Raw genomic sequence first — 25,899 nt, 5'->3', positions numbered from 1 at the left:
ATACCAGAATCACTGGAACACAGCTAAAGCAGTGTTTAGAGGGAAATTTAGAGCACTAAAATGTCCACAGGAGAAAATGGGAAAGATCTAAAATCAACACCCTAACATCTCAATTAAAACAACTAGAGAAGCAAGAGCAAACCATTCAAAAGCTACCAGAATACAAGAAATGACTAAGATCAGAGCAGAACTGAAGGAAATAGAGACTCGAAAAACCCTTCAAAAAATCAATGAATCCAGGAGCTGCTTTTTGAAAAGACTACCAAAGTAGACCACTAGCCAGACTAATAAAGAAGAAAAGAGAGAAGAATCAAACAGACACAATAAAAAATGATAAAGGGGAGATCACCACTGATCCCACAGAGACATAAACTACCATCAGAGAATACTATAAACACTTCTACACAAATAAACTAGAAATTCTAGAAGAGATGGATAAATTCCTGAACACATACACCCTCCCAAGACTAAACCAGGAAGAAGTCAAATCCCTCAATAGACCAATAACAAGTTCTGATATTGAGGCACTAATTAACAAACAGCCTACCAACCAAAAAAAGCCCAGGACCAGATGGATTCACAGCCAAATTCTACCAGAGGTACAAAGAGGAGCTGGTACCATTCCTTCTGAAACTATTCCAATCAACAGAAAAAGAAGGACTCCTCCCTAAATCATTTTACAAGTCCAGCATCATCCTGATACCAAACCCTGGCAGAGACACAACAAAAAAAGAAAATTTCAGGCCAGTATCCCTGATTAACATCAATGTGAAAATCCTCAGTAAAATACTGGCAAACCGAATCCAGCTGCATATCAAAAAGCTTATACACCATGATCAAGTCGGCTTCATCTCTGGGATGCAAGGCTTGTTCAACATATGCAAATCAATAAATGCAATCCATCACATAAACAGAACCAATGACAAAAACCACATGATTATCTCAATAGATGCAGAATAGACCTTCAATAAAATTCAACACCCCTTCATGCTAAAAACTCTCAATAAACCAGGTATTGATGGACTGTATCTCAAAATAATGAGAGCTATTTATGACAAACCCACAGCCAATATCATACCAAATGGACAAAATCTGGAAGTATTCCCTTTGAAAACCAGCACAAGACAAGGATGCCCTCTCTCACCAATCCTATTCAACATAGTATTGGAAGTTCTGGCCAGAGCCATCAGGCAAGAGAAAGAAATAAAAGGTATTCAAATAGGAAGAGAGGAAGTCAAAATTGTCTCTGTTTGTAGGTGACGTGACTGTATTTTTAGAAAACCCCATCTTCTCAGCCCCAAATCCCCTTAAGCTGATAAGCAACTTCAGCAAAGTCTCAAGATACAAAATCAATGTGCAAGAATCACAAGCATTCCTATACACCAATAATAGACAAACAGAACCAAATCATGAGTAAACTCCCATTCACAATTGCTACAAAGAGAATAAAATACCTAGGAATCCAACTTACAAGGGATATGAAGGACCTCTTCAAGGAGAACTACAAACCACTGCTCAAGGAAATAAGAGAGGACACAAACAAATGGAAAAACATTCCATGCTCATGGATAGGAAGAATCAATATCATGAAAATGGCCATACTGTCCAAAGTAATTTATAGATTCAGTGCTGTCCCCATCAAGCTACCATTGTCTTTCTTCACAGAATTAGAAAAAACTACTTTAAATTTCATCTGGAACCAAAAAAAGAGCCCCTATAGCCAAGACAATTCTGAGCAAAAAGAACAAAGCTGGAGGCATCATGCTACCTGACTTCAAACTATACCACAAGGCTACAGTAACCAAAACAGCATGATACTGGTACCAAAACACATATATAGACCAATGGAACAGAACAGAGGCCTCAGAAATAATGCCACACATCTACAACCATCTGATCTTTGACAAAGCTGACAAAAACAAGCCATGGGGAAAAGATTCCCTATTTAATAAATGGTGTTGGGAAAACTGGCTAGCTATATGCAGAAAACCGAAACTGGACCCCTTCCTTACACCTTATACAAAAATTAATTCGACATGGATTAAAGACTTAAACATAAACATAAACACTTAAACATAAAAACCCTAGAAGAAAATCTAGGCAATACCATTCAAGACACAGGCGTGGGCAAAGACTTCATGACTAAAACACCAAAAGCAATGGCAACAAAAGCCAAAATAGACAAATGGGATCTAATTAAACTAAAGAACTTCTGCACAGCAAAAGAAACTATCATCAGAGTGAACAGGCAACCTACAGAACGGGAGAAAATTTTTGCAATCTATCCATCTGACAAAGGGCCAACATCCAGAATCTACAAAGAACTTAAACAAATTTACAAGAAACAAAAAAAACCCATCAAAAAGTGGTCAAAGGATATGAACAGACACTTCTCAAAAGAAGACATTTATGCTGCCAACAAACATGAAGAAAATCTCATTACTGGTCATTAGAGAAATGCAAACCAAAGCCACCATGACATACCATCTCACGCCAGTTAGAATGGTGATCGTTAAAAAGTTAGGAAACAACAGATGCTGGAGAGGATGTGGAGAAATAGGAACACTTTTACACTGTTGGCGGAAGTGTAAATTAGTTCAACCATCGTGGAAGACAGTGTGGCGATTCCTCAAGGATATAGAACCAGAAATACCATTTGACCCAGCAATCCCATTACTGGGTATGTCCCCAAAGGATTATAAATCATTCTATTATAAAGACACATGCACATGTATGTTTACTGCAGCACTGTTCACAATAGCAAAGACTTGGAACCAACCCAAATGCCCATCAATGACAGACTAGATAAAGAAAATGTGGCACATATACCCCATGGAATACTATGGTGTATATGTGCCACATAAAAAGGATGAGTTCACGTCCTTTGCAGGGACATGGATAAAGCTGGAAACCATCATTCTCAGCAAACTAACACAGGAACAGAAAACCAAACACTGCATGTTCTCACTCATAAGTGGGAGTTGAACAATGAGAATACATGGACACAGGGAGGGAAACATCACACACCAGGGTCTGTTGGGGGGTGGGGGGCTAGGGGAGGGATAGCATTAGGAGAAATACCTAATGTAGATGATGGGTTGGTGGGTGCAGCAAACCACCACGGCACATGTATACCTATGAAACAAACCTGCACATTCTGCACATGTATCCCAGAACTTAAAGTATAATAATAAACACAAAAAATAAGAAAAAAAGGGAAGTATTTAACTGCAGAAATTAACATCCATTGCCGATTTATGAATGTCATAGAAAGCCAAGATTTTATGTTATGTTTTCTTTTCAACTCAATTTTTGCCCAAAGACTCTGATTTTATATAGAGGTAGAAATAAATAAAAAATCATAGCAGTGCACTATTTCCAGTTTGCAACATGTCCTGAACTTTTATGGCAAAATGATAGTCTTCATATAAAGAAAAGGTGATATAATGGTTGGCTTGGGTCCTGTTTCATTATCTAGAATTCCAGAGGAGCTATTTCAGCAAAATGTAATTCATATCATATTTTGCACTTTTTCTTTCTAGGTTTGGACGAGGATTTACTGTCAAAGTTCACTTGAAGAATAACAAAGTGACCATGGAGACCCTCACAAAGTTCATGCAGCTGCACTTTCCAAAAACATACTTAAAAGTAAGTGATGATGGCTGGGTGCAGTGGCTCACGCCTGTAATCCCAGCACTTTGGGAGTCCGAGGCGGGCAATCACTTGAGGTCAGGAGGTTAAGACCAGCCTGGCCAACATGGTGAAACCCCGTCTCTACAAAAAATACAAAAATTAGCTGGGCATGGTGGCACATGCCTGTAATCCCAGCTACTCGGGAGGCTGAGGCAGGAGACTTGCTTGAACCTGGGAGGCAGAGGTTGCAGTGAGTCAAGATCATGCCACTGCACTCCAGCCTGGGTGACAAAGCGAGACTCTGTCTAAAAAACAAAAACAAAAACAAAAACAAACAAAAAACCAACAATGTAAGTGATTATCTTGCCTTTTGATCTTCACTAGTTTTGATGGTAATGTCATAGCGACATTTGTGATTTCCAAGTTGACTACAGCTTTATTATTAATCTTAATTTATTGATTAGTTCAAGATGCGTAAGATATGCCAAAGCATACTTAGTATGAACAAATAGCATCAATTAATTATATATTTTTGTACTTACTTAAAGTTAACACAGTCCTTTCACATACATGTATTTTTTTTTTTCCTCACAAAGGATTTATGATCATATTGTATTAGTTTCCAAGTTGTATACCTTGCTGATCTACTCATTATATATATTAGGGAACTGAGGGATGACAGGTATTATATGACCAAGGTCATTTCTTCTTAAAAAAACCCAAAAAACTACAGAGCTCCAGAATGATTATCTGGTTTGTCCCCCTCATTTGAAAGAGAAGCCCACAAAAGTTGGAGCAGGACTGAGTAGAAATCAAGTCCTCAAGTTCTAGACTAGATGAAATATTGTACAGTTGATCTCATCTCACATATGCATAGGCATGGGATGGACACACACAGATATATGCATATATACCTAACATAGCCCATACTTAATTAAAATAAATGTACTTGACAGGAAAATTTGTCATTATTACATCTTTGATATACAGGCAATTTGTAGAAGATGATTTCAAATGATTGTTTTTGAAAGGAAATCAGACGTGGAATGATAAAAAGAAATTGGAAAGACTAGGGCTGAGGTCCAATTGTGCCCATGTGATTCCCAGCAAGCCATTAATCTCTGAGCCTCATTTTTCTCATTTGTAAATAGGAATACAGGAGTGTCCCACTATTCATGGGTGATACATTCCAAGACCTCCAGTGGATGCCTGAAACTATAGATAGTACCAAATCTGGTATACACTATGCTTTTTCTTATACAGAAACAGGCAGGTAGCTTACACAACATAAATATACTGGACAAAGGAATGATTCACATGCCAGATCGGGTGGTACAAAATTAGATCACACTACTCAGAAAGGCATGCAATTTAAAGCTTATAAATTGTTTATTTTTGTATTTTTCCATTTAATAGTTTTAGAACTTGGTTGATCACAGGTAACAAACCATAGAATGCAAAACCACAAATAAGGGAGTACTACTACAGTAACATCTACTTCACAAAACTGATGTGAGAATTAAATGATAAGGTGTCCACAAAGATACTCCATAAATTATAAGGCACAATGTTAATTTGAAGTGATTTTAGAGAAAATAAACTGCATTTTAAAAATAATTATTTTATCTTCATAAAATACCTTTGCCTCAGCCTCTCCAAGTTTGGCTAACTTCTCTATTTCTCTAGGAAAGAATAGCTTTCTTAATTCTTAAAAAAAATTTTTTTTAAGACACAGAGTCTCGCTATGTTGCCCAGGCTGGAGTGCAGTGGCATAATCATAGCTCAGTGCAGCCTTGAACTCCTGGGTTCCAGGAATCCTTCCACCTCTGCCTCACAAGTAGCCAAGCATATAGGCATGTGCCACCATGCCCTGCTAAGTTTTGGATTTTTTGTAGAGACAGAATCTCACTATGTTGCCCAAGCTGGTCTTGAACTCCTGGCCCGAAGCAATCTTTCTGCCTTGGTCTCCCAAAGCACTGGGATTACAGCTGTGAGCCACCACACTCGGCCTAGCTTTCAGGATTCTTATCAAAGCTCATTTTCTATCATCTAAATTTAAATCAAATTTAAAAGTAAAAGGACATCTTTCTTGCACAAATTGTGTTGGTAGTAATGCTTTCTCTTTTAGTGGATTTCTGGGTTGAAATCTGTGTTGTTTCACTGAGTGATGAAATTACATTCTCCCTGGTCTGTTCCTCATGGGACCAGGGCTATACAAGGCAAATGCAGTGATAATAAAAAGTCTGATTTCTCCCTAGCAGACCATTCTTTACAAATTTGTGGTGGTTTCTAGATGTCTAGAAGGAAAATAGCCAAAACAACAATCTGAGAGCAAAAGTAGGCAAGATGGCCCAATTGCAGTAACAGATATAATGCAACTGCATGTCAATGGGAGACGCTAAGCAATGCACAAAGCGGGAGGAGAAGGGTCTGAAATACATGGTCATGATCTGATGCACTGGCGTCACAGGGGTAGATTCTGGAATAAGAAAATATCCTAATCAAACTAGTATCAGCAAAGATTATCCCAGCTGCTTTCTGCAAGAAAGTTAAGTGTACAGAGTTTCTGGGGTTCTGAAGAGGCTGTTGCAGTAACTAAGATGTGGACTAATAAGCATCAAGTTAATCATATTGGTGGTGCAAATAGAGAGAAAAGGTTAAGTTTGAGAGGTATTTTAGAGGAAAAATAAATAAGATCTGGTAACTGATTAAATATCCAGGAAAGCAAATTGTTAAAGATACTCCAAGGCAACTAGAATGGATTAAACTAAGTAGATGGTGATACTGGTGACCGAAATAAAGAAATTGGAAAGAATTTTAGGGTGAGTTGGGAAAAGGATGAGCTGTCATTTGAAGGAGCTTCAATGCTTTTGAAGTCTACTGTCTTTAGCCAATATAAATGGAACTGCTAATTTTTAGCGTTTTAGAACACTTCTAACACAAAAATGAAATTTCTTAAGATTGAGCACTGAGAAAGCTTATGTGAGCTGAGCATAATGTCACATGTGAAATACCATTCCACAAATTCTTTTCCAGGCAAGATTATAATGACTGTATAACTTCACATGAATATAGAATGCTTTGGAGTTTTCATGAACTTTTAAATTTGTTTTCTCTTTGACATTCACAAAACTTTCATCTCATCTTTGCAAGCTGTTAGTTTCAAAATATACTCGTTATTTATACTGTAGCATCATTTTCAGTGGAATGAACTTCAGTTATTTTCCTGAACTCTTGGTAAAGTTATGTCTAGTCATGTCAACATTACCAGACATTGCAAAATAAACTTTTTTCCTTTGGTTCCCACAGGATCAGCACCTCAGCATGCTAGAGTATCATGTACCAGTCACAGCAGGAGGAGTCGCAAACATTTTTGATCTGCTGGAAACCAACAAGACTGCTTTAAATATTACAAATTTCTTAGTGAGTCAGACCACTCTGGAAGAGGTAAGATATATACCACGATCCATGTGCACAACGTCACATATTAATATTATTATTCATTCTGGTTATTTCTTTTTAATTACATTCAATTTGTTTTTAATTGAATTAATATCTAGTCTTGCACCTGAAAAACTTAGCAAAGAGCCTAATCAATTTCTCACTTAATTTGGGGATATTAAAAAAATAGATGTGAAAGACATTAACTTTTCCATTTGATAAGACATCTGTACCCATAAAGTTATATGTATACATAAAGAAAAAAACCCCACTATTTTCACATACATAACAAACAGCTGTTAACACTTTCCTTCCTTCTTCCATGGTAGGTTTCTTAAAGAACATTTCTATTGATTGGCTTCCTGGATTAGGGTTGGACAGGGTAATTAGAATTTGGTGTCAGACCTTTAGATCTGTTAAATTCAGGCAATTAAAGTGGTAAATGCAGAATCCTTTCCGTTCAACGTACATCATCTGTCTTAATTACATTTGCATTTAATAACTACAGACTTATTAGGTCATCCTTTATCACTTCTGTACTGTCTTAATTTTGCACAGCTCAACCAACATGACATATAGAAAGTTTGATTATATCTGTCATTGGACTAGGTCTGAAAGTAAGGCCTTTAGGGGTCAGTATATGGTGCTGCATTTGATGTACAACTCTTCTTGTGGGGCTTTAGGCATTTTAATGGGGGCTTTAGACAATCATGACTTTCCTGAAAATGAAGACTTAGTCTTCGACTTATGACCAACTACCAGCACCATGGCAAAATACAGACTCTCGATAGTTTTTGGATGAAACTATGACTAATAGATTTAATGACTTTAAACAAAGTGAAAAGATCTGCCTGTTAAGTAATTGGCTTACTGAACACAGTGTTAACATGGGCTTTCTATACAAATTTTATCTTAATGCATTAACTCTTGAAACTAGTGAAATTTCTCTCAACATTTCTACACAACCATTCAATAAGGGCACAGGGCTGGGCTCCTTGTTTATACCTGATAGAGATATTGATGTAGGTCATATGAATGCAGAAATGTGGCTACAGATAGTCAACTATGGCTTAAGATTGACATGATTATAAATAAAATCATAGTCATAAATATGGTCATAGATATAGGTGCTGTTTTCAAGCCCCAGTTAAATTTGATTTTCTGAAAGGACTCCTAGTGCAAGCATGTATAAAACTAGGATTTGGATTTTATAGGGGCCTGCATACACATATATACACGCTTGCACTAGGAGAGAGGAAGGGGAGAGAGAGAGAATGAATTAACTTTATTTTTTCCTTTGGCTTACCAGGCATTAATGGCTTTATTTTCCCTGAAAAATCAGGTTTTCATCAACTTTGCCAAAGACCAGAAGTCCTATGAAACTGCTGATACCAGCAGCCAAGGTTCCACTATAAGTGTTGACTCACAAGATGACCAGATGGAGTCTTAACACTTCCAGCAAACTCAATCTCAGCGTGTGACCAATGGCTTCATTTTGAAGAAAAGCCACAGAAGATACACTTCCGCAAGATATCTTCATTTTAAAGTAAAGTAATATACTGTATGGAAAGTTACAACTGTGTTAGACTAACAAGTAATTATAAAAGGAAATTTTTCCTTCTAAGGTCAGTGAGTGTTGTTGCTACTGAAATGAATTCCTGTATACTCAACACTGTGAGCATGCTAATGTATATGCTGGTGATTCTTATGCAAAGGTGAAGCCACCTCAAGATGAATATCTTAATTTATTACTTTCAATAAAAAGACAGTTTAAAAGGCATGGATTTTGGTAGTTGAAATATAAGAGTGGAGAAGAAAAGTCAGATGGTTTGTGGCAGGTGCCACCGGGCAAGCAGACAACATAATTTATTTCCAGAAAACAACAGAATGAACATCATCATGAATACATGAATCGGCTGTGATGTGTGAACTGCTAAGGGCCAAATGAACGTTTGCAGAGCAGTGGGCACAATGTTTACAATGTATGTGTATGTCACTTTCGGTACCTGTGAATGCATGGGGACGTGCTGAACCCGAAAAAAAGTGCCTTTCCATAAGGACTGCAATAGAGAGGGCAATTTACCCTGGTGGTACACGGAACCTAGATTCACTCCTGCCATGCCTTGCCAATAGTAAGCTGCAGGGTGGAACAAGAAATCACTTGCTCTGGGGGGAAGGGAGGGGGGAATGGGTGTGTCAGCTGGGTAGATACAAACCCTGAAAAGAGAATCCATGTGCTACTGGCAGGCAACATTTTTTAAAGCTCTTTCAGAAACCCTCATATTTGGGGTTTCTTTTCAGGAAACATTCCTGTGGAGGGAAAACGAATATGAAGATAATTTTCAGCTAATTATCTGGGTGACCCAGAATCGTGTATATGGCTATAGGATAGACTTCTTAATAATGGCAAGTGACGTGGCCCTGGGGAAAGGTGCTTTATGTACCGTGTGTGCGTGTATGTGTGTGTATCTATACAAGTTTGTCAGCTTTGGCATGACTGTTTGTCTCGAAAACCAATAAACTCAAAGTTTAGAAAAACTCATTCATGCTGTCATTTCATTTGTTAGGGAAGAGACAGGAACCTAAAAATGGGAGTCATGTGGCCTGCAAAGTTTCACTTGATCTGGCCCCTGTTGGCCTCTCCACCCTCATCCCCATCTTTCTCTCTCTTTGGCCCTTTGGGATCTAGCCATGCTGGCCCCTTCCCACTTTTTCCAGTGCTCCACAGTCTTCCCCATCTCCAAACCTTTGCACATGCTGTTCTCCTGCTGGGAATGCTCTTCACCCCACACTTTTTACCTGGCTAACAGGCTCCAGAAATGTCATACTTTCTTAGAGAACCCAGACTGCCCGGCTTTCTCATTTTAAATCTGGTCTGCTGTTCTAATACTATATGCTTTGTTGTTCCTCCCAACCTCCTACTTTTCTGTCAGAGCATGCATCATCATTTGTAATATATCCAGACTGACTGACTTAACTACAAATATATATATATATATGTACCTTAACAGATGGTAACACAATTTCTTTCAGGATGGAAAATGTCTTTGCTGAATATAATATGTAGACACGCCTTTTGGAGTAGATAGAAGGTATAACTCTGAGAGCGTGGGTGTCTCTAGGGTCCCAAGTGACAAAATAGATAGCCGAGCTCCATGAAAGAATAAAAGGAATTTGTTTGCTGTTCATTGTCTTTGTTGTGGTTGGCTGGTTGTCTGCTTGTTTCTGAGCAATGGTAGGAAAGGAAGCAAAAGAAAAGGACACAAGGGACATGGAGAAAGGTGGAACCAGTGAGATGGCAGAAGGCTAAGTACTGAAACAGACGGAAGCCCAGTGAGAAAGAGAAGTGGTTGAATGGACGTTTAAAACTATGAGTATTCAAATACTTTTTGCATATTCACTCACTGTGCAGCCATGCTGTGGATGGTCCCTGTTACCACTGAATCTTCGTTGAAGTCAGACACGCTTACAAATGCTCTGTGTGACTGAGTGTCTTGTGGAGACTGGAATGAAGATATGTTAATTCCTTTTTTGAAAGAGGTGCAGTACAGTGACAGCTTCATCCCAGAAGCTGTCAGACCATGAGACAGGGAGATGCCAGGACATGTGTGGAGCAGAGCTTCTGACCATAGGACATGGATCAGGGACTCCAGCCAATCTCATCTACCTCTCAATGGGCAGGGAAGCCCCAGCTGGGCTCTGGACCGTGATAGTAGCACCATTATTTGAGTGATTAGTATTTCTCTGTCTCACTAGGCTTGAAACTCCATGAGGACAGAGATCTATTTTGATCTTCCTGGCTCTCCAACTGGTACCTATATACACAATAAATATTCGTGGCACTCAATAAGTAAGTATTTGTTGGTTAAATGAGTAAATAAATGAAGGAGAAACAAGAGAGGCTGGCATGGTTGATATGAAAACCAAGCAACCTGATTTTGTTTAAATTTCTGAAATACAGTGAGGTTTCCCATGAGGTAGTTTATTCTGAGGGAAGAAAAGAGAAAGATGATACATAGTCCCATATTACAGATATTACAATGAATCTACTGCGATGGAAGGATTTGGGTATCTTCTTTAGAATGAGAATGCTATGTTTTGTTTTTGCACATTTTTGGACATTTATTTTTCTTCCTCTTTTTTTCTGTTAGTATGTACTATTTAAGAGTATCATGGCACATTTTTATATGTAATTAAGGAACATCTATGAACAAATATTTGAACCCATATCCCTTTGGGTTTCTCTGCAGTAGAGGAAATGTTTAGAGAATTCCCAGTTCCCAGAACTTCCACTCTGGATAATACCTACAGAATGTGCTTGCTTTTTTGTTTTTGTTTTGTTGTTCTTGTTGTTGTTGTTCTTTTTTTTTTTTTTTAGACAAGGTCTTGCTCTGTTACCCAGGCTGGAGTGCAGTGGAGAGATCACAGCTCACTGCAGCCTCGATCTCCCAGGCTCGAGTGATCCTCCCACCTCATCCCCCTGAGTAGCTGGGACTACAGGTGTGCACCTCCAAGGCTGGCTAATTATTTTTTATTTTTAGTAGAGATGAGGTCTCGCTATGTTGCCCAGGCTGGTCTTGAACTCCTGAGTTCAAGCAATCCTCCATCCATGGTCTCCCAAAGTGCTAGGGTTACAGGTAGGAGCCACCACGCCTGGCCCAGAATCTACTTTTTTAATGTGAGTTACCTGAATTACCTCTGAGGATAGTGGCAATTTTTACTTCATGCATAAAACCTAATTTTCATAATATTTATACAGTGGGTACAAAAATCACAAGAATGGAAAAATGATAAGCCAGGTAGAGTGACTCATACCTGTAATGCCAACACTTTGAAAGGCTGAGGTGGGTGGATCACTTTAGTCCACGAGTTTCACACCAGCCTGGGCAACATGGCAAAACCCTGACTCTTAAAAAAAAAATAATAATAATAACATTAGCTGGGAATTGTGGTGCACATCTGTAGTCCTAGCTTCTCAAGAGGTTGCAATGGGAAGATCACCTAAGCCCAGGATGCTGAGACTGCAGTGAGGCTTGATCGTGCCATTGCACTCCAGCCTGGATAACAGAGTGAGACCCTGTCTCAAAAAATAGAAAAATGATCCAGACAGCCTTCTGCACAGTATGCTGTCTTCCTTATTGATCGACTTCTAGACAAACAGCAAATGCTGACCTAGGTAAAGATGGGAATGACCAACTAGGCTTCCATCCTCTTACCTTCACCTGACACCAGAAGTCTGCTTGTTTCATTAACCTAAGCTTTTCAATGTAAGAAGACAACAAGCTACAAAGAAATGAATACTATTTCCTCTGGCATCATTTGTTTCAAGGTTAATCTTATCACTCCTTTGCTTGTAAATCCAGATTGGTTTTCCATAATCTGCAGGATAAAATACAAACCCCTTAACTGATCTTCAAAGTATTTAATAATCTGGTTCCAACACTTCAATCTCTCTTCCCTACGCAGTTGATGCTCTTACTGTAATAAATTTCTCGCTATTTCCTATTTATGTCAGAGCCTCTCTCAATTCTGTGCAACTTTGCTCACACTGCTCTTTTCTCTTGGAAGACCTTTTCTCCCTCCCTACTCAGCTTTTATCCAGAATCTCCTTTTCATCTTCATTACACTTCTCTTAGGCCTTATCTTTAAGGAAGACTTCCGAGAGAGCCTCAGGCAGAGTTAATTGTTCTATCCTTTGTTACAAAAGCATTTTTGTGCATGCCTCTGCAGAAGTATTTTCATATCACATTATAAACATCTCTGTACATATCTCTTTCTTCCCTAAGTTCCTTAAGCGCAGTGACCTATTTTTCTTCATCATTGTACCTCCCATATCCAGCAAAATATCAACATATTGTTGCTGCTCAATAAATTTTTGAAGAACCAAAGAGGTCTATTTCAACTTAGAAATGCTTGTAGGATTTTTGCTTTAACTTTTTTGTAATCATGTTTGTTTTAGTTTTAAAGTTTAAAGTTAATTGCTGGGGGAAAATGTGCAGATGACCAACATTTTAAGTTAAAATGTTGATTCTGCATAAAGTGCATTTCATTAAAATGCCAAGCATTGGACATACAATTATTTTAGTAACACTACTGCCTATTATGGCATTTGCCTAAGGATTTTCTTTTATTTTGTATTTTTTGAGACAGAGTCTCGCTATGACACCTAGGCTGGAGTGCAATAGCATGACCTCGGCTCACTGCAACCTCTGCCTCCTGGGTTCAAGTGATTCTCCTGTCTCAGCCTCCTGAGTAGCTGGAACTACAGGCATGAGCCACCACGCCCGGCTAATTTTTGTATTTTTAGTAGAGACATGGTTTCACCATATTGGCCAGGCTGGTCTTGAACTCCTGACCTCATGATCTGCCCACCTCAGCCTCCCAAAGTGCTGGGATTACAGGCATGAGCCACCACGCCCGGCTTGCCCAAGGGTATTGAAAATAAAAATGCTATTTAAATCAAATACTTTCACTAAGACAGAGTTATACTTAATCACTCTCATCGCACAAGTGGAAAAGCTAGATAAGAAAGCAGTTGTAGTTAGGTTGGCTGCATGTGGTGTCTCACACCTGTAATCCCAGCACTTTGGAAGGCCGAGGCAGGAGAATCCCTTGAGGCCAGGTGTTCAAGACCAGCCTGAGTACCTAGCAAGACCCTGACACTACATAAAATTTTAAAATTAGCTGGGTACAGTGGTGTGCATCTGTAGTCCTAGCTTCTTGGGAGACTGAGGTGGGAGGATTGGTTGAGCCCATAAGGTTGAGGCTGCAGTATGCCATGATTGCACTAGTGCACTCCAGCCTGCACAACAGAGTGAGTCCTGTCTCTTCCAAAAAAAAAAAAAAAAAAAAAAAAAGAAAAAGTTATGATTAAAATAGCAGGATCTACCACTTATTCATAATTTTTTATCTGTGAGATACAGGTCAAGTTTGCCACATTTCTTATTCTCACAACAAACTTTCAATTGGTTACTGAAGGTTGGAAAAAGGCAACTATCTGGCCCAGAATCCTACAGCCAAAGAATGAATTTGATGCCACAGACTGTATTCTGACATAGACCCCTCCCTCACAAAAAGACTTGACTATGTCAACTTACATATTTAAAATCCATTCATAATTTAGTGATGAGCTGTATTTATGTCTGTGCTGACTTGGCAAGAGAATCACTGGTCCTGTGGGCCCTGAAAACTGCTCCCTTGTCTACTGTAGCTATCTCCAGTACTGTTTCTAGCACAAACAAGAAGACTCTGTCCCTGACTATCCTCTTTCCTTAGAAATCCTTAGGAAGGATCCTCTTCTTTCACCTTCCTACCTCCTGCCCCCGCCCCCCTCCACTGAACTATCTCGCAGAGAAAACCAACAATGTCATTAGATATACAAAGATTTACTAATAATTTCCATTTATTTTAACTCAAAAGAGTTGTGGTTTGTACTTACTGAGATTTTGTTGTTGTTTTCAATATAGCAGATAATTTTGCTATTCTGTTTATTTGATTTCTTTCCTCAGTTTATTTTCATTTTTATGCTTTATTATTGCATTCAAATGGGAGCTATAATTTCCAGTGTAAGGAAGCCCACAATGTGAAATGGTCTATGCCCTAAACAGGTTATGGCCAAGATGGCTCTTTCAACACCTCAAAACAGATTTTTAGTTCTTATTTCATGGGACCCACTGAAAGTTTCTAGTGGAAGAGGAAAACCCTTCACTTAAGTTAATGCTCTTAGCAACTCAACAGAATTGCAAACTGAATTCTTCTCAAAGACAAAAGCTTCACTAATCAGCCCAAAAGAAATATTTAGTATTACCAGAGAAGTTTAACTTTCTTTTATTTAAAGCAGTCCAGTCATTAAAGAAGATATTCATGAAATATTTTGAGCTAAAAAATTGTAGGCAAGATGCTCCAACCAATGCATATATCATTTAAGAATGAAATAAATGGAAAGTTCTACTAAAGGCAAACCAGATATAACTCCAGAAAAATCCTGAAACTTTCCGTCATATTCTTTGGTAAAATGCATAAGCACACACTAACTAAGCTAGAAGATTTTCTTTTCACACTAATCTGTTTTAAAAATTTATCTAAGATACATTTAAAAAAAAGAAAACTACAGGCCAATATCCTTAATTAAAAATGATGCAAAAATCCTCAACAAAATACTGGCAAACTGCTAAAAGAAAAACTTCAGCCAAATTAAATATAAAGGAGTTTAATTAAGCAATGAACGATTCGCGAATTGGGCAGCCCCCAGGATCACAGCAGATTTAGAGAGACTCCAGGGATGCCTCATGGTCAGAAAAAATGTATAGGCAAAAAAAGTAGTGATGCACAGAAACTGGTAGTGAGGTACAGAAACAGCTGGATTGGTTACAGCTCCATGTTTGCCTTATTTGAACACAGTTTGAACACTCAGCAGTGTATGAGTGGTTGAAGTATGGCTGCTAGGACTGGCCAAGACTCAGTGATTGTTACAGGAGCATACTCCTAAGTTAGGTTTTCAATCTTGTCTACCTATTAAGTTAGGTTGCAGTTTATCCACAAGGACTCAAATATAGAAGTATGGAGTCCTTCTCAGGACATATTTAGTTTGCTTTAACAAAACCAAATTCAACAACACATTAAAAAGATCATTCATCATAACCAAATGGGATTTATCTCGGGGATGCAAGGATGGTTTAACATATGCAAATCAATCAATATGATGCATCATATCAACAGAATGAAGGACAAAAACCATATGATTATTTCTACTGATGCTGAAAAGCATCTGGTAAACTTCAGCATCCCTTCATGATAACAACAACAAAAAAAAAACCCTCAAAAACCGGGTATAGAAGGAATACACTGCAACACAATAAAAGCCATATAGGACAGACCACAGCTAGTATCATACTGAACAGAGAAAAACTGAAAACCTTTTCTCTAAGCTCTGGAACAAACAAGGATTCCCACTGTCACCATTGTTATTCAACATAGTACTGGAAGTCCTAGCTAGAGCAATCAGACAAGAGAAAGAAATAAAAGTCATCCAAGTCAGAAAGAAGTCAAATTATTCTTGTTTGCAGATGATTTATCTTGTATTTGGAAAAAACTAAAGACGCCATAAAAAAAAAACTGTTAGAGCTGATAAACAATTCAGTAAAGTAGCAGGGTACACAATCAATGTACAAAAATCAGTAGCATTTCCATATGCCAATGGCAAACAATATGAAAAGGAAATCAAGAAAATAATTCTACTTACAATAGCTACAAATAAAATAGAATACCTAGGAATTAACTTTAACCAAAGAAGTGAAATATCTCTACACTGAAAACTATAAAACACTGATGAAGGAAATTGAAGAGGGCACAAAAAATTGGAAAGATATTCCATATTTGTGGATTGGAAGAATCAATATGGTTAAAATGTTCATACTATCCAAAGCAATCTACATATTCAATGCAATCCCTATCAAAATACCAATGACATCCTTCACAGAAATAGAAAAAGCAATCCTTAAATTTCTGTGGACCCACAAAAGACCCAGAAGAGCCAAAGCTATTCTGAACAAAAAGAACAAAACAGAAGGAATCACATTACCTGACTTCAAATTATACTACAGAGCTATAGTAACCAAAAGAGCATGGTATTGGCATAAAAACAGACACAGATCAATGGAACACAATAAAAAAGGACTCAGAAATAAATTCATACATCTACAGTGAACTCACTTTCAACAAAGGTACAAAGAACATACATTGAAGAAAGGACTATCTCTTTGATAAATGGTGCTAGGAAAACTGGATATCCACATGCAGAAAATGAAACTAGACCCCTATCTCCTAACACAGATAAAAATCAAATCAAATGGATTAAAGACTTAAATCTAAGTCCTCAAATTATGAAACTATTAAAATAACACATTGGAAAACTCTCTAGGACATTGTACAGGGCCAAGATTTCTTGTGTAATATCCCACAAGCACAGGCAACCAAAGCAAAAATGGACAAATGGAATCTCATCAAGTTAAAAAGCTTCTGCACAGTAAAGGAAACAATTAACAAAAATGAAGAGACAACCCACAGGATAGGAGAAAATATGTGCAAACTATACATCTGACAAGGGATTAATAGCCAGAATATATAAGGGACTCAAACAACTCAATAAGAAAAAATCTACTCATCCGATTAAAAAAATGTCTATTTGAACAACTAAATGTCTGAATACAGAATTCTTAAAAGAAGACATACAAATGGTAAACAGGTATATGAAAAAGTGCTCAACATCATTGATCATCAGAGAAATGTGCATCAAAACTACAATGAGACACCATATCACCCCACTTAAAATGGCTTTTATTCAAAAGATAGATAATAACAAATGCTGGCAAGGATGTGGAGAAAAGAGAACACTCATACAATGTTGGTGGAAATGTAAACTAGTACAACCACTATGGAGAGCTTTCTAAAACACAAAAACTAGAGGTATGATATGATCCAGCAATCTCATTGCTAGGTATATACCCAAAAGAAAGGAGATCAGTCTACTGAAGAAACATCTACACTCTCATGTTTACTGCAGCACTTTTCACAATAGCCAAGATTTAGAAGCAACCTAAGTGTCAATCAGCAGATGAATGGGTCAAGACAATGTTGTGCTTATACACAGTGGAGTAATATTCAGCCATAAAAAAAGAACGAGATCCTGTCACTTGCAAGGATGGAACTAAAGATCATTAAGTAAAATAAACTAGGCACAGAAAGATAAATTTTGCATGTTTTCTCTTATTTGTGGGAGCTAAAAATTAAAATAATTGAACTCATGAAGACAGAGAACAGAAGGATGGTTACCAGCCCCTGGGAATAGTGGGGGAGGGGGAGCAGGGGGGAAATGGGGATGGTTAATTGGTAAAAAAATATAGTTAGATAGAATGAGTAAGATCTAGTATTTGATAGCAAAACAGGGTGACTACAACCAATAATAATTTATCAGACATTTTAAAAGAAGTAAAAGAGTATAACAGAATTTGTGTGTAACACAAAGAAAGGATAAATGTCTGAGGTGATGGATACCCCATTCACCCTGATGTGATTACTACACATCGTATGCCTGTATCAAAATATCTCATGTACCCATAAATATGTACATCTATGAACCCATAAAAATAAAAAATAAAGTTATTAATTGAAAAACTTATCTGATAGGACTTGACAGACAATAATAGATTTAAAAGATACACAGGAAAATCAAACATTATATAACAGAAGTTCCTTTTTGTTTTTGAAAACCAGTCAATGTAAGAGAGCACATGTTAAAAACTATGACTGAAAAAAAACTTACCTTAAAAAATAAACATCAAAGCTAAATATTGAAATGATACATTGTGTATCTGGGTGGACTTCACTGAGATGAATATTCTTGTAAAATTATTGAAATGTAAAGGAAAAACCCTTTGGATAGCCAGAAAAAAGAACCAAGACCCATTTTAGAGAAAGAAAATTAAGTAGTCATAATATTATTTGACAGTAATGATTTATATCAGGAGAGAAAACATAAACAAAAGACTTTGTATCTAATTAAAATGAAACTGAATTATAAAGGTTTTAAGCAGATTATTTTGAAGATATGAGAATTCGGGAAAATTCAAAACCCTTTCCTGAGGAACCTACCAAAAAACAATTTTCAGACAACAAAATGATGGGAGTAACATTGACATAAAGACTAGTTTTGAGCATTAAACATCTATTTGTCTGCAGAACTAAATCTAAATGAAGATTATAAAAGTATGTATGTGAAAAAAAAGAAAAAGGAACATATCTGATCTCTTCCTAGGTAGAGCTTCAAAAGTACTCCTCTGTTATAAAGGTCTTCCTAAAACTGTTCCTTGATAATGAAATTAAACTATAAATTATCTTATCAAATAATTTATCTTTATTAAAGAGACAGCTTACATCCTTACTTGACCAGTGTAACCTATCTAGCATTTTGAGATCCCTCCACGAATACTGAATCTCTAACATAACTTACATATGTAAAGCATATCATTTATTGAGCACAGAGATTTGAGAAAATTGAGGGTTTTTTTTTTCAATTATTCTTTTGTGAATGTACTAAGGAGAGGAAATAGGTGGTTAAAATGTAACGGACACTCTACAATGGCCCCCAATTATTCCTACCTCCTGGTACAGATGTTTTTTAGTGAAAAATTCTCTCTCCTTGACTATGAGAGAACCTGTGACTTGCTTCAGACAAACAGAATATAACAAAAGTGATTATGTCACAAAAGATTGTACCATCTGTCTTGCTAATAGCCTCTCTCCCTTCCTGGCTTTAATGAAGTAAGAGGCCATGTTGAAAGGCCTCCTTGGCAAGGAATGGCAGGCAGCCTCTGGCCAACAAGTGGCAAGAAACTAAAGATGGCCTCCAGCTGAGAGCCAGCAAGAAACTGAGACCCTTAGTCTCACAACCAGCAAGTAAATGCTGCCAACAACCATCTGAGCTTAGCAACAGGTTCTTCCCCAGTCTGGTATGCAGATAAGAACTCAGCCCTAGACAATACCTTAATTACAGCCTTACAGAGAACTCTGCTAAGATGCACCCAGACTCCTGACCCATAGAAATGGTAGATAATAAACATGTGTTGTATGAAGCCACCAAATCTGTGGCAATAGTATTACGCAGCAATAGATAGCTAAAACTCATAGGTAGATTCAAATCTAACTGCCTATGCAGCCTTAACTTCCATTTTTTTCTTTGATAATATTTTTCCCTCAAAGTACCCTTTCCAAAAGATTCTAGTCAGTATTTGCTTAAGTGTGTAATTAATAATCCTGTCCACCCCAATCTTCGAGATAATTTTTATTCCTCTCTGTTTAAGGCACTAACTCTTTGGTTGACTTTCTGCTAATTATTTCACTGTGGTAAAATACACCTAAGATTTATGATCTTAATCATTTTTAAGTGTACAATTAACTGGTATTAAATACATTTATAATGCTGTACAACCATCACCATCTGTCTCTACAACTATTTTCATCCTGTAAAACTGAAACTATACTCATTCAACAATAATCTCCTTTCTCCCCTCTCCAACTCAACAATCACCATTATACTTTCTTTCTTTATGATTTTGACTACTCCAGCTACTTAATATAAGTGGAATCATATAGTATTTGTCTTTCTGTGGCTGGCTTATTTCACTAAGCATAATATCCTCAAAGTTAATCCACGTTGTGGTATATGTCAGAATTTCCTTCCTCTTTAAGGCTAAATAGTATTCCATTGTATGTATATACTACATTTTGCTTATCTGTTCATTGGTCAACGAATACCCGAGTTGCTTCTACCTCTTGGCTGTTGTTAATAATGAACATGGATGTACAAATATTTCTTCAAGACCCTTCTTTCAATTCTTTGTAGTATATACCCAGAAACGGAATTGCTGAATCATATGAATTATCACATAATTATATTTTTAATTTATAATACTGTTTCCACACACAACAATAGCATTTTTCATTCCCATCAACCCTGCACTAGGGTTCTATTTACTCCACATCTTTACCAACAATTATTACAATTATTATATTCTGGTTTTTTTGGTAGTAGCCATCCTAATGGGTGTAAGGTGGTATCTCATTGCAACTTTGATTTGCATTTCCTTAATGATTAGTGATGTTGAGCATCTTTTCATGATTTTTGTTTGTTTGTTTTTGGTTTTGGTTTTGGTTTTTGAGATGGAGTCTCACTTTGTCGCCCAAGCTGGAGTGCAGTGGCACGATCTTTGCTTATCTCAAGCTCCGCCTCCCAGGTTCACGCCATTCTCCTGCCTCAGCCTCCTGAGTAGCTGGGACTACAGGTGCCCACCACCACGCCAGGCTAACTTTTTGTATTTTTAGTAGAGACAGGGTTTCATCGTGTTAGTCTGGATGGTCTCGATCTCCTGACCTCGTGATCTGCCTGCCTCGGCCTCCCAAAGTGCTAGGGTTACAGGCATGAGCCACCGCGCCCAGCCCTGTTCATGTTTTTATTAGCTATTTTTATATCTTCTTTGGAGAAATGTTTATTCAAGTCTTTTGCTCATTTTTGAATTGGGTTGTTTGTCATTGAGCTGTAGAAGATCTCTATACAGTCTGGATACTAATCCCTTATAAAATATATTATTTACAAATATTTTCACTATTGTGTCAGTTGCCTTTTTACTCTGTTGATAGTGCCTTTTGATGCATGATTTTTAAAAATGTCCATGAAGTTCAAATTTGTCTGTTTTTCCTTTTGTTTTCTATGCCTTTAATGTCATTGCCAAATTCAATGCTATGAAGCTTTTACTCAATGTTTTTTTTCCTAAGGACTTTATAGTTTTAGGACTGACATTTAGGTTCCTGATTCATTTTGAACTAATTTTGTATTCCAACTTCTTTCATTTGCATATGGATATCTAGTTTTTCCAACACCATTTGTTGAAAAGACTATTCTTTCCCCACTGAATGGACTTGGCACCCTAGTCAAAAATCATTTGATCATATATGTGAGGGTTTACTTCTAGGTTCCCTATTCTGTTCCATGGGTCTGTATACCTGTCTTTATGCCAGTTCCACATTGTTTGATTACTGTCGCTTTGTAGTAAGTTTTGAAACCAGGAAGTGTGAATCCTCCAGTTTGGTTTGTCTTTTTCAAGGCTGTTTTGGCTATTTGGGACCCCTTGAGAGTCTGTATGAATTTTAGGTTGGCGTTTTTTATTTCTGCAAAAAAATGTCATTGGGATTTTGATAGGAATTGCGTTGAATCTATAGATAGATTTGGGTAGTGTTGACATCTTAACAATAGTAAGTTTTCCAGTCTATGAACATGAGATGTGCTTCCAATTACCTGTATCTTTACTTTTTCAGCACTGTTTTATAGTTTTCATTGCACAAGTCTTTCTCCTTCTTGGTTAAGTTGGTTTCTAAGTATTTTATTCTTTTTGATGCTATCTAAGTCCATTTTGGCTTCCCGAACAAAATATTTTAGACTAAATAATTTATAAACAATAGAAATGTATTGCTCACAGTTCTAGAAGCTGAGAAGTCAAAGATCAAGGTGCCAGCAGATTCATAGGTATCTGTTGGCAGCCTACACTTCATAGATGACACTTTCTTGCTAGTCCTCATATGACACAGAAGACAAATAAGCTCCCCTAGGCCTCTTTTACAAAGACATTAATCCCATTTATGAGGGCTTTGCCCTTATGACTTAATCACCTTCCAGATGTCCCACCTCTCAGCTCCACTGCGCTGATTGTTAAATTTCAACACATGAATTTTGGAGGGACACGAACATTCAGATCATAGTAGGTGTTACTGTAAACAGAATTGTTTTCTTTCCTTTCTTTTTCTTTCTTTCTTTTTTTTTTTTTTTTTGAGATGGAGTTTTGCTGTTGTCATCCAGGCTGGAGTGCAGTGACACAGTCTCAGCTCAGTGCAACCTCCACCTCCCGGGTTCAAGCAATTCTCCTGTAATTGGGATTATAGGTGCCTGCTACCATGCCCAGCTAATTTTTGTATTTTTAATAGAGACAGGATTTCACCATGTTGGCCAGGCTGGTCTCGAACTCCTGATCTCAAGTGTTCCTCCCGCCTCGGCCACCCAAAGTGCTGGGATTATAGACATGAACCAATGTGCCAGGCCTAAAATTGTTGTCTTAATTTCTTTTCCAAATTGTTCATTACTAATATATTGAAATCTAACTTAGTTTTGTGTTTACTTTCCATCCTGCTACTTTGCTGAACTCACTTATTAGTTCTAACAGGATTTTTTTTATGTGAAAATTTTAGGTTTTCTACGTATAATATCATCCGCAAGCAGAGATAATTTTACTTCTTCTTTTCTAATTTGCATGCCTTTTCTTCCCCTTGCTTAATTGTTCCAGCTAGAATTTCCAGTACTACATTGAGTAGAAGTGGTAAAAGCCTGTGTGATTGACTCTTGTCGACATCTATGCTATTGTTACAAATCACAGAAGGTCAGCTTCTGTATCTGTTCACATTTTGCCAGCCACTGATGAACTAATCTAGATTTAATAATAGTTAACAATTACATAAGTATAAAATTTCACTTTTTATGAAAAAACTTTACATGTTTAAAATCATTTGAACCTCATAGCAACCCTGTGCAGTATTACTGCCCCTAGATGGGAACAAGTATCAAAGGGGTTAAATAATTGATTTATAGCAAAAAAGATGATATATTAAATTATGGTATTAAGCTATATTTTTTATCTGCCCTAAATTCTATCCCAACCTTTTTCTTTTCTTTCCTTTTTTTTTTTTTGAGACAGGGTCTCACTCTGTTGCCCAGGCTGGAGTGCAATGGCGTAATCTCAGCTCACTGCAATCTCCGCCTCCCAGGCTCAAGTGATTCTCAAGCTTCAGCCTCCCAAGTAGCTGGGATTACAAACACGGACCACCATGCCCATCTAATTTTTGTATTTTTAGGAGAGATGGGGTTTTACCATGTTAGCCAGGCTGGTCTCCAACTCCTGACCTCAAATCCAGCTCCTGACCTCAAATGATCTATCTGCCTTGGCCTCCCAAAGTGCTGGGATTACAGGTGTGAGCCACCATGCCTGGCCCCTAGTCTCTTTTCTTATTTCTGTGGTTCCCTTGTTCCCATTCCAGGTTGTCTCAATGAAGCTGGTGACTATGGTGGCCCCTCTTCATCCCAGCAATTAGGTGTGCATATGACCCTAGATGGCCAGAGCATCTTAATTCTCTTAACCACTTTGATTAGTTTAGAGATTGACACAAGACTCTAGCAAAGTTAGTCAATCATTCCTGAATTAATATTTAAATTTTGGAAGAGACATTTCCTTCTCATGGGATTGCTGAACTGAGAGAAGACAAGTCTAGGACAAGTGTAGGGCTCCCAGTTGCTGTCTTGTTCATAACATGGAAAGAGCTTGTGTATTTAATAAAGTCTAGCAGAGACAAGCAGAACCAACAAATAAAATACAATTACCTAAGAAAGTCCTGCTGCCTTTTTTGTTTGTTTGTTTACCATAGAATCCAGCGAAACCCAAAGGACCACTCTGGCAGCTATGGAGGACAGGCAGTAGGGATCTAAAGCAGAAGTCAGGGCAATCTAGAAAACTAGTGCAGCAGAATAACTTGGTAGCTATGGAGATAGCAAAAAAAAAAAAAAAAAGGTTAAATTCTGGGTACGTTTTTGAGGAAAAGCTGATAGAAACTGCTGCCAGATTAATGAAGAATACATAAGATAAAGAGAGTCAAGAATGAATCCAAGGGTTTTAGCTTGAGCAACTGGATAAATTGAATTGTTATTTATTGGAGAATGAGAAAATTGGAGACACAAAGACAGTTTAAGGCGATAAAATCAAGAGCTGGGTTTAAGATGCATTATGTTTGAGATGTCAGACATTCTAGAGGAAATTTTGACTAAACTATAGATCTCTGTGTCTGGAGTTTGGGAAAAGATCTCTGCTGGAGAAAAAAATAATGTGGAAGGCACTGGCATACAGATGAAAATTCAAGCCACAAGCCTGAATGAGATTATGCAGGGAGATGAGTTTGGCTAGATCAGTGAAGCAATCTAAACAGAGCATCCCAAGGCAGCACAGTATTTTTGAGGTAGAGAAGGAGCATCCAGAAATAATGTGTAACATGCAAGCCAAGAAAAGAAATTGTTTCTAAAAAGGAGAGAGTGGCCGACCTTGCCCAGGCAGCTGCTAGTTAGATTAAAATAAAGACTGAAAATTGACAGTTGGATCTAACATATTCAGGGATGACCTTGACAAAAAAAGTTTCTGGGGAATGACAGAAAGAAAACCTCATGAATGAGTTGAATAAAAAATAAGAGAGAAAGTAGGGAGGATGGGAAAGGGGAGCAGAGAAATAGGTGGTAGCTGGAGGAGAATTCCTAGTTATATTACAAGAGGGATCTCACATATTCTAGTGGGGGCAGAAAAAGGTCAAGTTTGCCAAGGGTAGCGTCCTGTACCTTTGATAGTCTCTGGGGTGGACAATGTCCCCTTTTCCCTGGGTAATATTTTCTATGTCAGGATTAGGGGCCGACATAACTTGTGATCTGGTCTCTTTCTTGACTTAGTTACAATATGGTAGTGCTTCTGGGCTAACTCATTTTCACCCTCGAGTGTCTGTTACATCTTCCATTTTTCCCATAGGCACATAAGCTCACACTTAGCTCAGAGGTCACCCAGTTCACCAGAGTGGGATCCATGACAGAACACTGTTCACAAGTCAGTGACCATGCCACACTCAACTGAAGGTGACCAATCCGGAACCCAATGTCTCCTTTACTGTACCATCTTGTGCAGGATCGTTTACTTTGATGTGGCATGTACAAGAGAGATCTACAGCAGCTTGCCTTCCATGTTAAACTCATTTAATGAATATTTAAAATACCTTGCCTTCCACATTAAGCTCATTTAATGGATACACATGCTTCCGGGTCAAAGCCCTGAGGTAGAAAATTAGCACTGTGTTCACCCCTCTCTCCTCTTACTTTCTTTCCTTTCTTTTTCCCTTAAATCCTAAGGATAGAAAGCAGGTATGCTTTCTTTACATCTGATCTTCCTTCTACAAATGAACAACAAATCTTAAGACAAATAGTGTCTTTTCTTTATAAGAGAACTCTGTGATCTTAAACTCGTTCTCTAGTTTTCCAGGCTAGACTTGTTCATCTACTACAAGGGGTGGAGGGAGGAAAGTCAAAGAAATTCAGCAAATCCATTCTTAAAACAATACCATGGCTTTCAGAGTTACTATCCTGCTCTGTATTCCTATTTTGTTTGTCATAAACTGAATGTTACCTTGGCCTTTCCTCCACTT

General features: G+C 37.6%; 1 protein-coding gene and 1 long non-coding RNA gene across 5 annotated transcripts in view; one reads left to right on the top strand and one right to left on the bottom strand.

Annotated features, from left to right (window-relative positions):
• The window catches only part of ABCA12 (ATP binding cassette subfamily A member 12), a 207,085-nt gene extending 197,469 nt beyond the window's left edge, over window positions 1–9,616 (top strand). For all 4 annotated transcript variants that reach the window (NR_103740.2, NM_173076.3, XM_011510951.3 and 1 more), the window contains 3 exons: window positions 3,543–3,648; window positions 6,943–7,080; window positions 8,417–9,616. Coding sequence is in view for 3 of the 4 variants with exons in the window: in NM_173076.3 (NP_775099.2) it covers window positions 3,543–3,648; window positions 6,943–7,080; window positions 8,417–8,524 (352 nt within the window). In the remaining variant the exon portion in view is untranslated. The remainder of the gene's footprint in view (window positions 1–3,542; window positions 3,649–6,942; window positions 7,081–8,416) is intronic.
• The window catches only part of SNHG31 (small nucleolar RNA host gene 31), a 153,377-nt gene that overhangs the window by 22,448 nt on the left and 105,030 nt on the right, over window positions 1–25,899 (bottom strand). The window lies entirely within an intron of this gene.

The sequence above is a fragment of the Homo sapiens genome, chromosome 2 (genome assembly GCF_000001405.40).
Source record: "Homo sapiens chromosome 2, GRCh38.p14 Primary Assembly".
In the NCBI taxonomy this organism is placed as follows: Eukaryota; Metazoa; Chordata; class Mammalia; order Primates; family Hominidae; genus Homo; species Homo sapiens.
The sequence above is the reverse complement of the archived record's forward strand: the minus strand, read 5'-3'. Positions and strand labels throughout refer to the sequence as shown.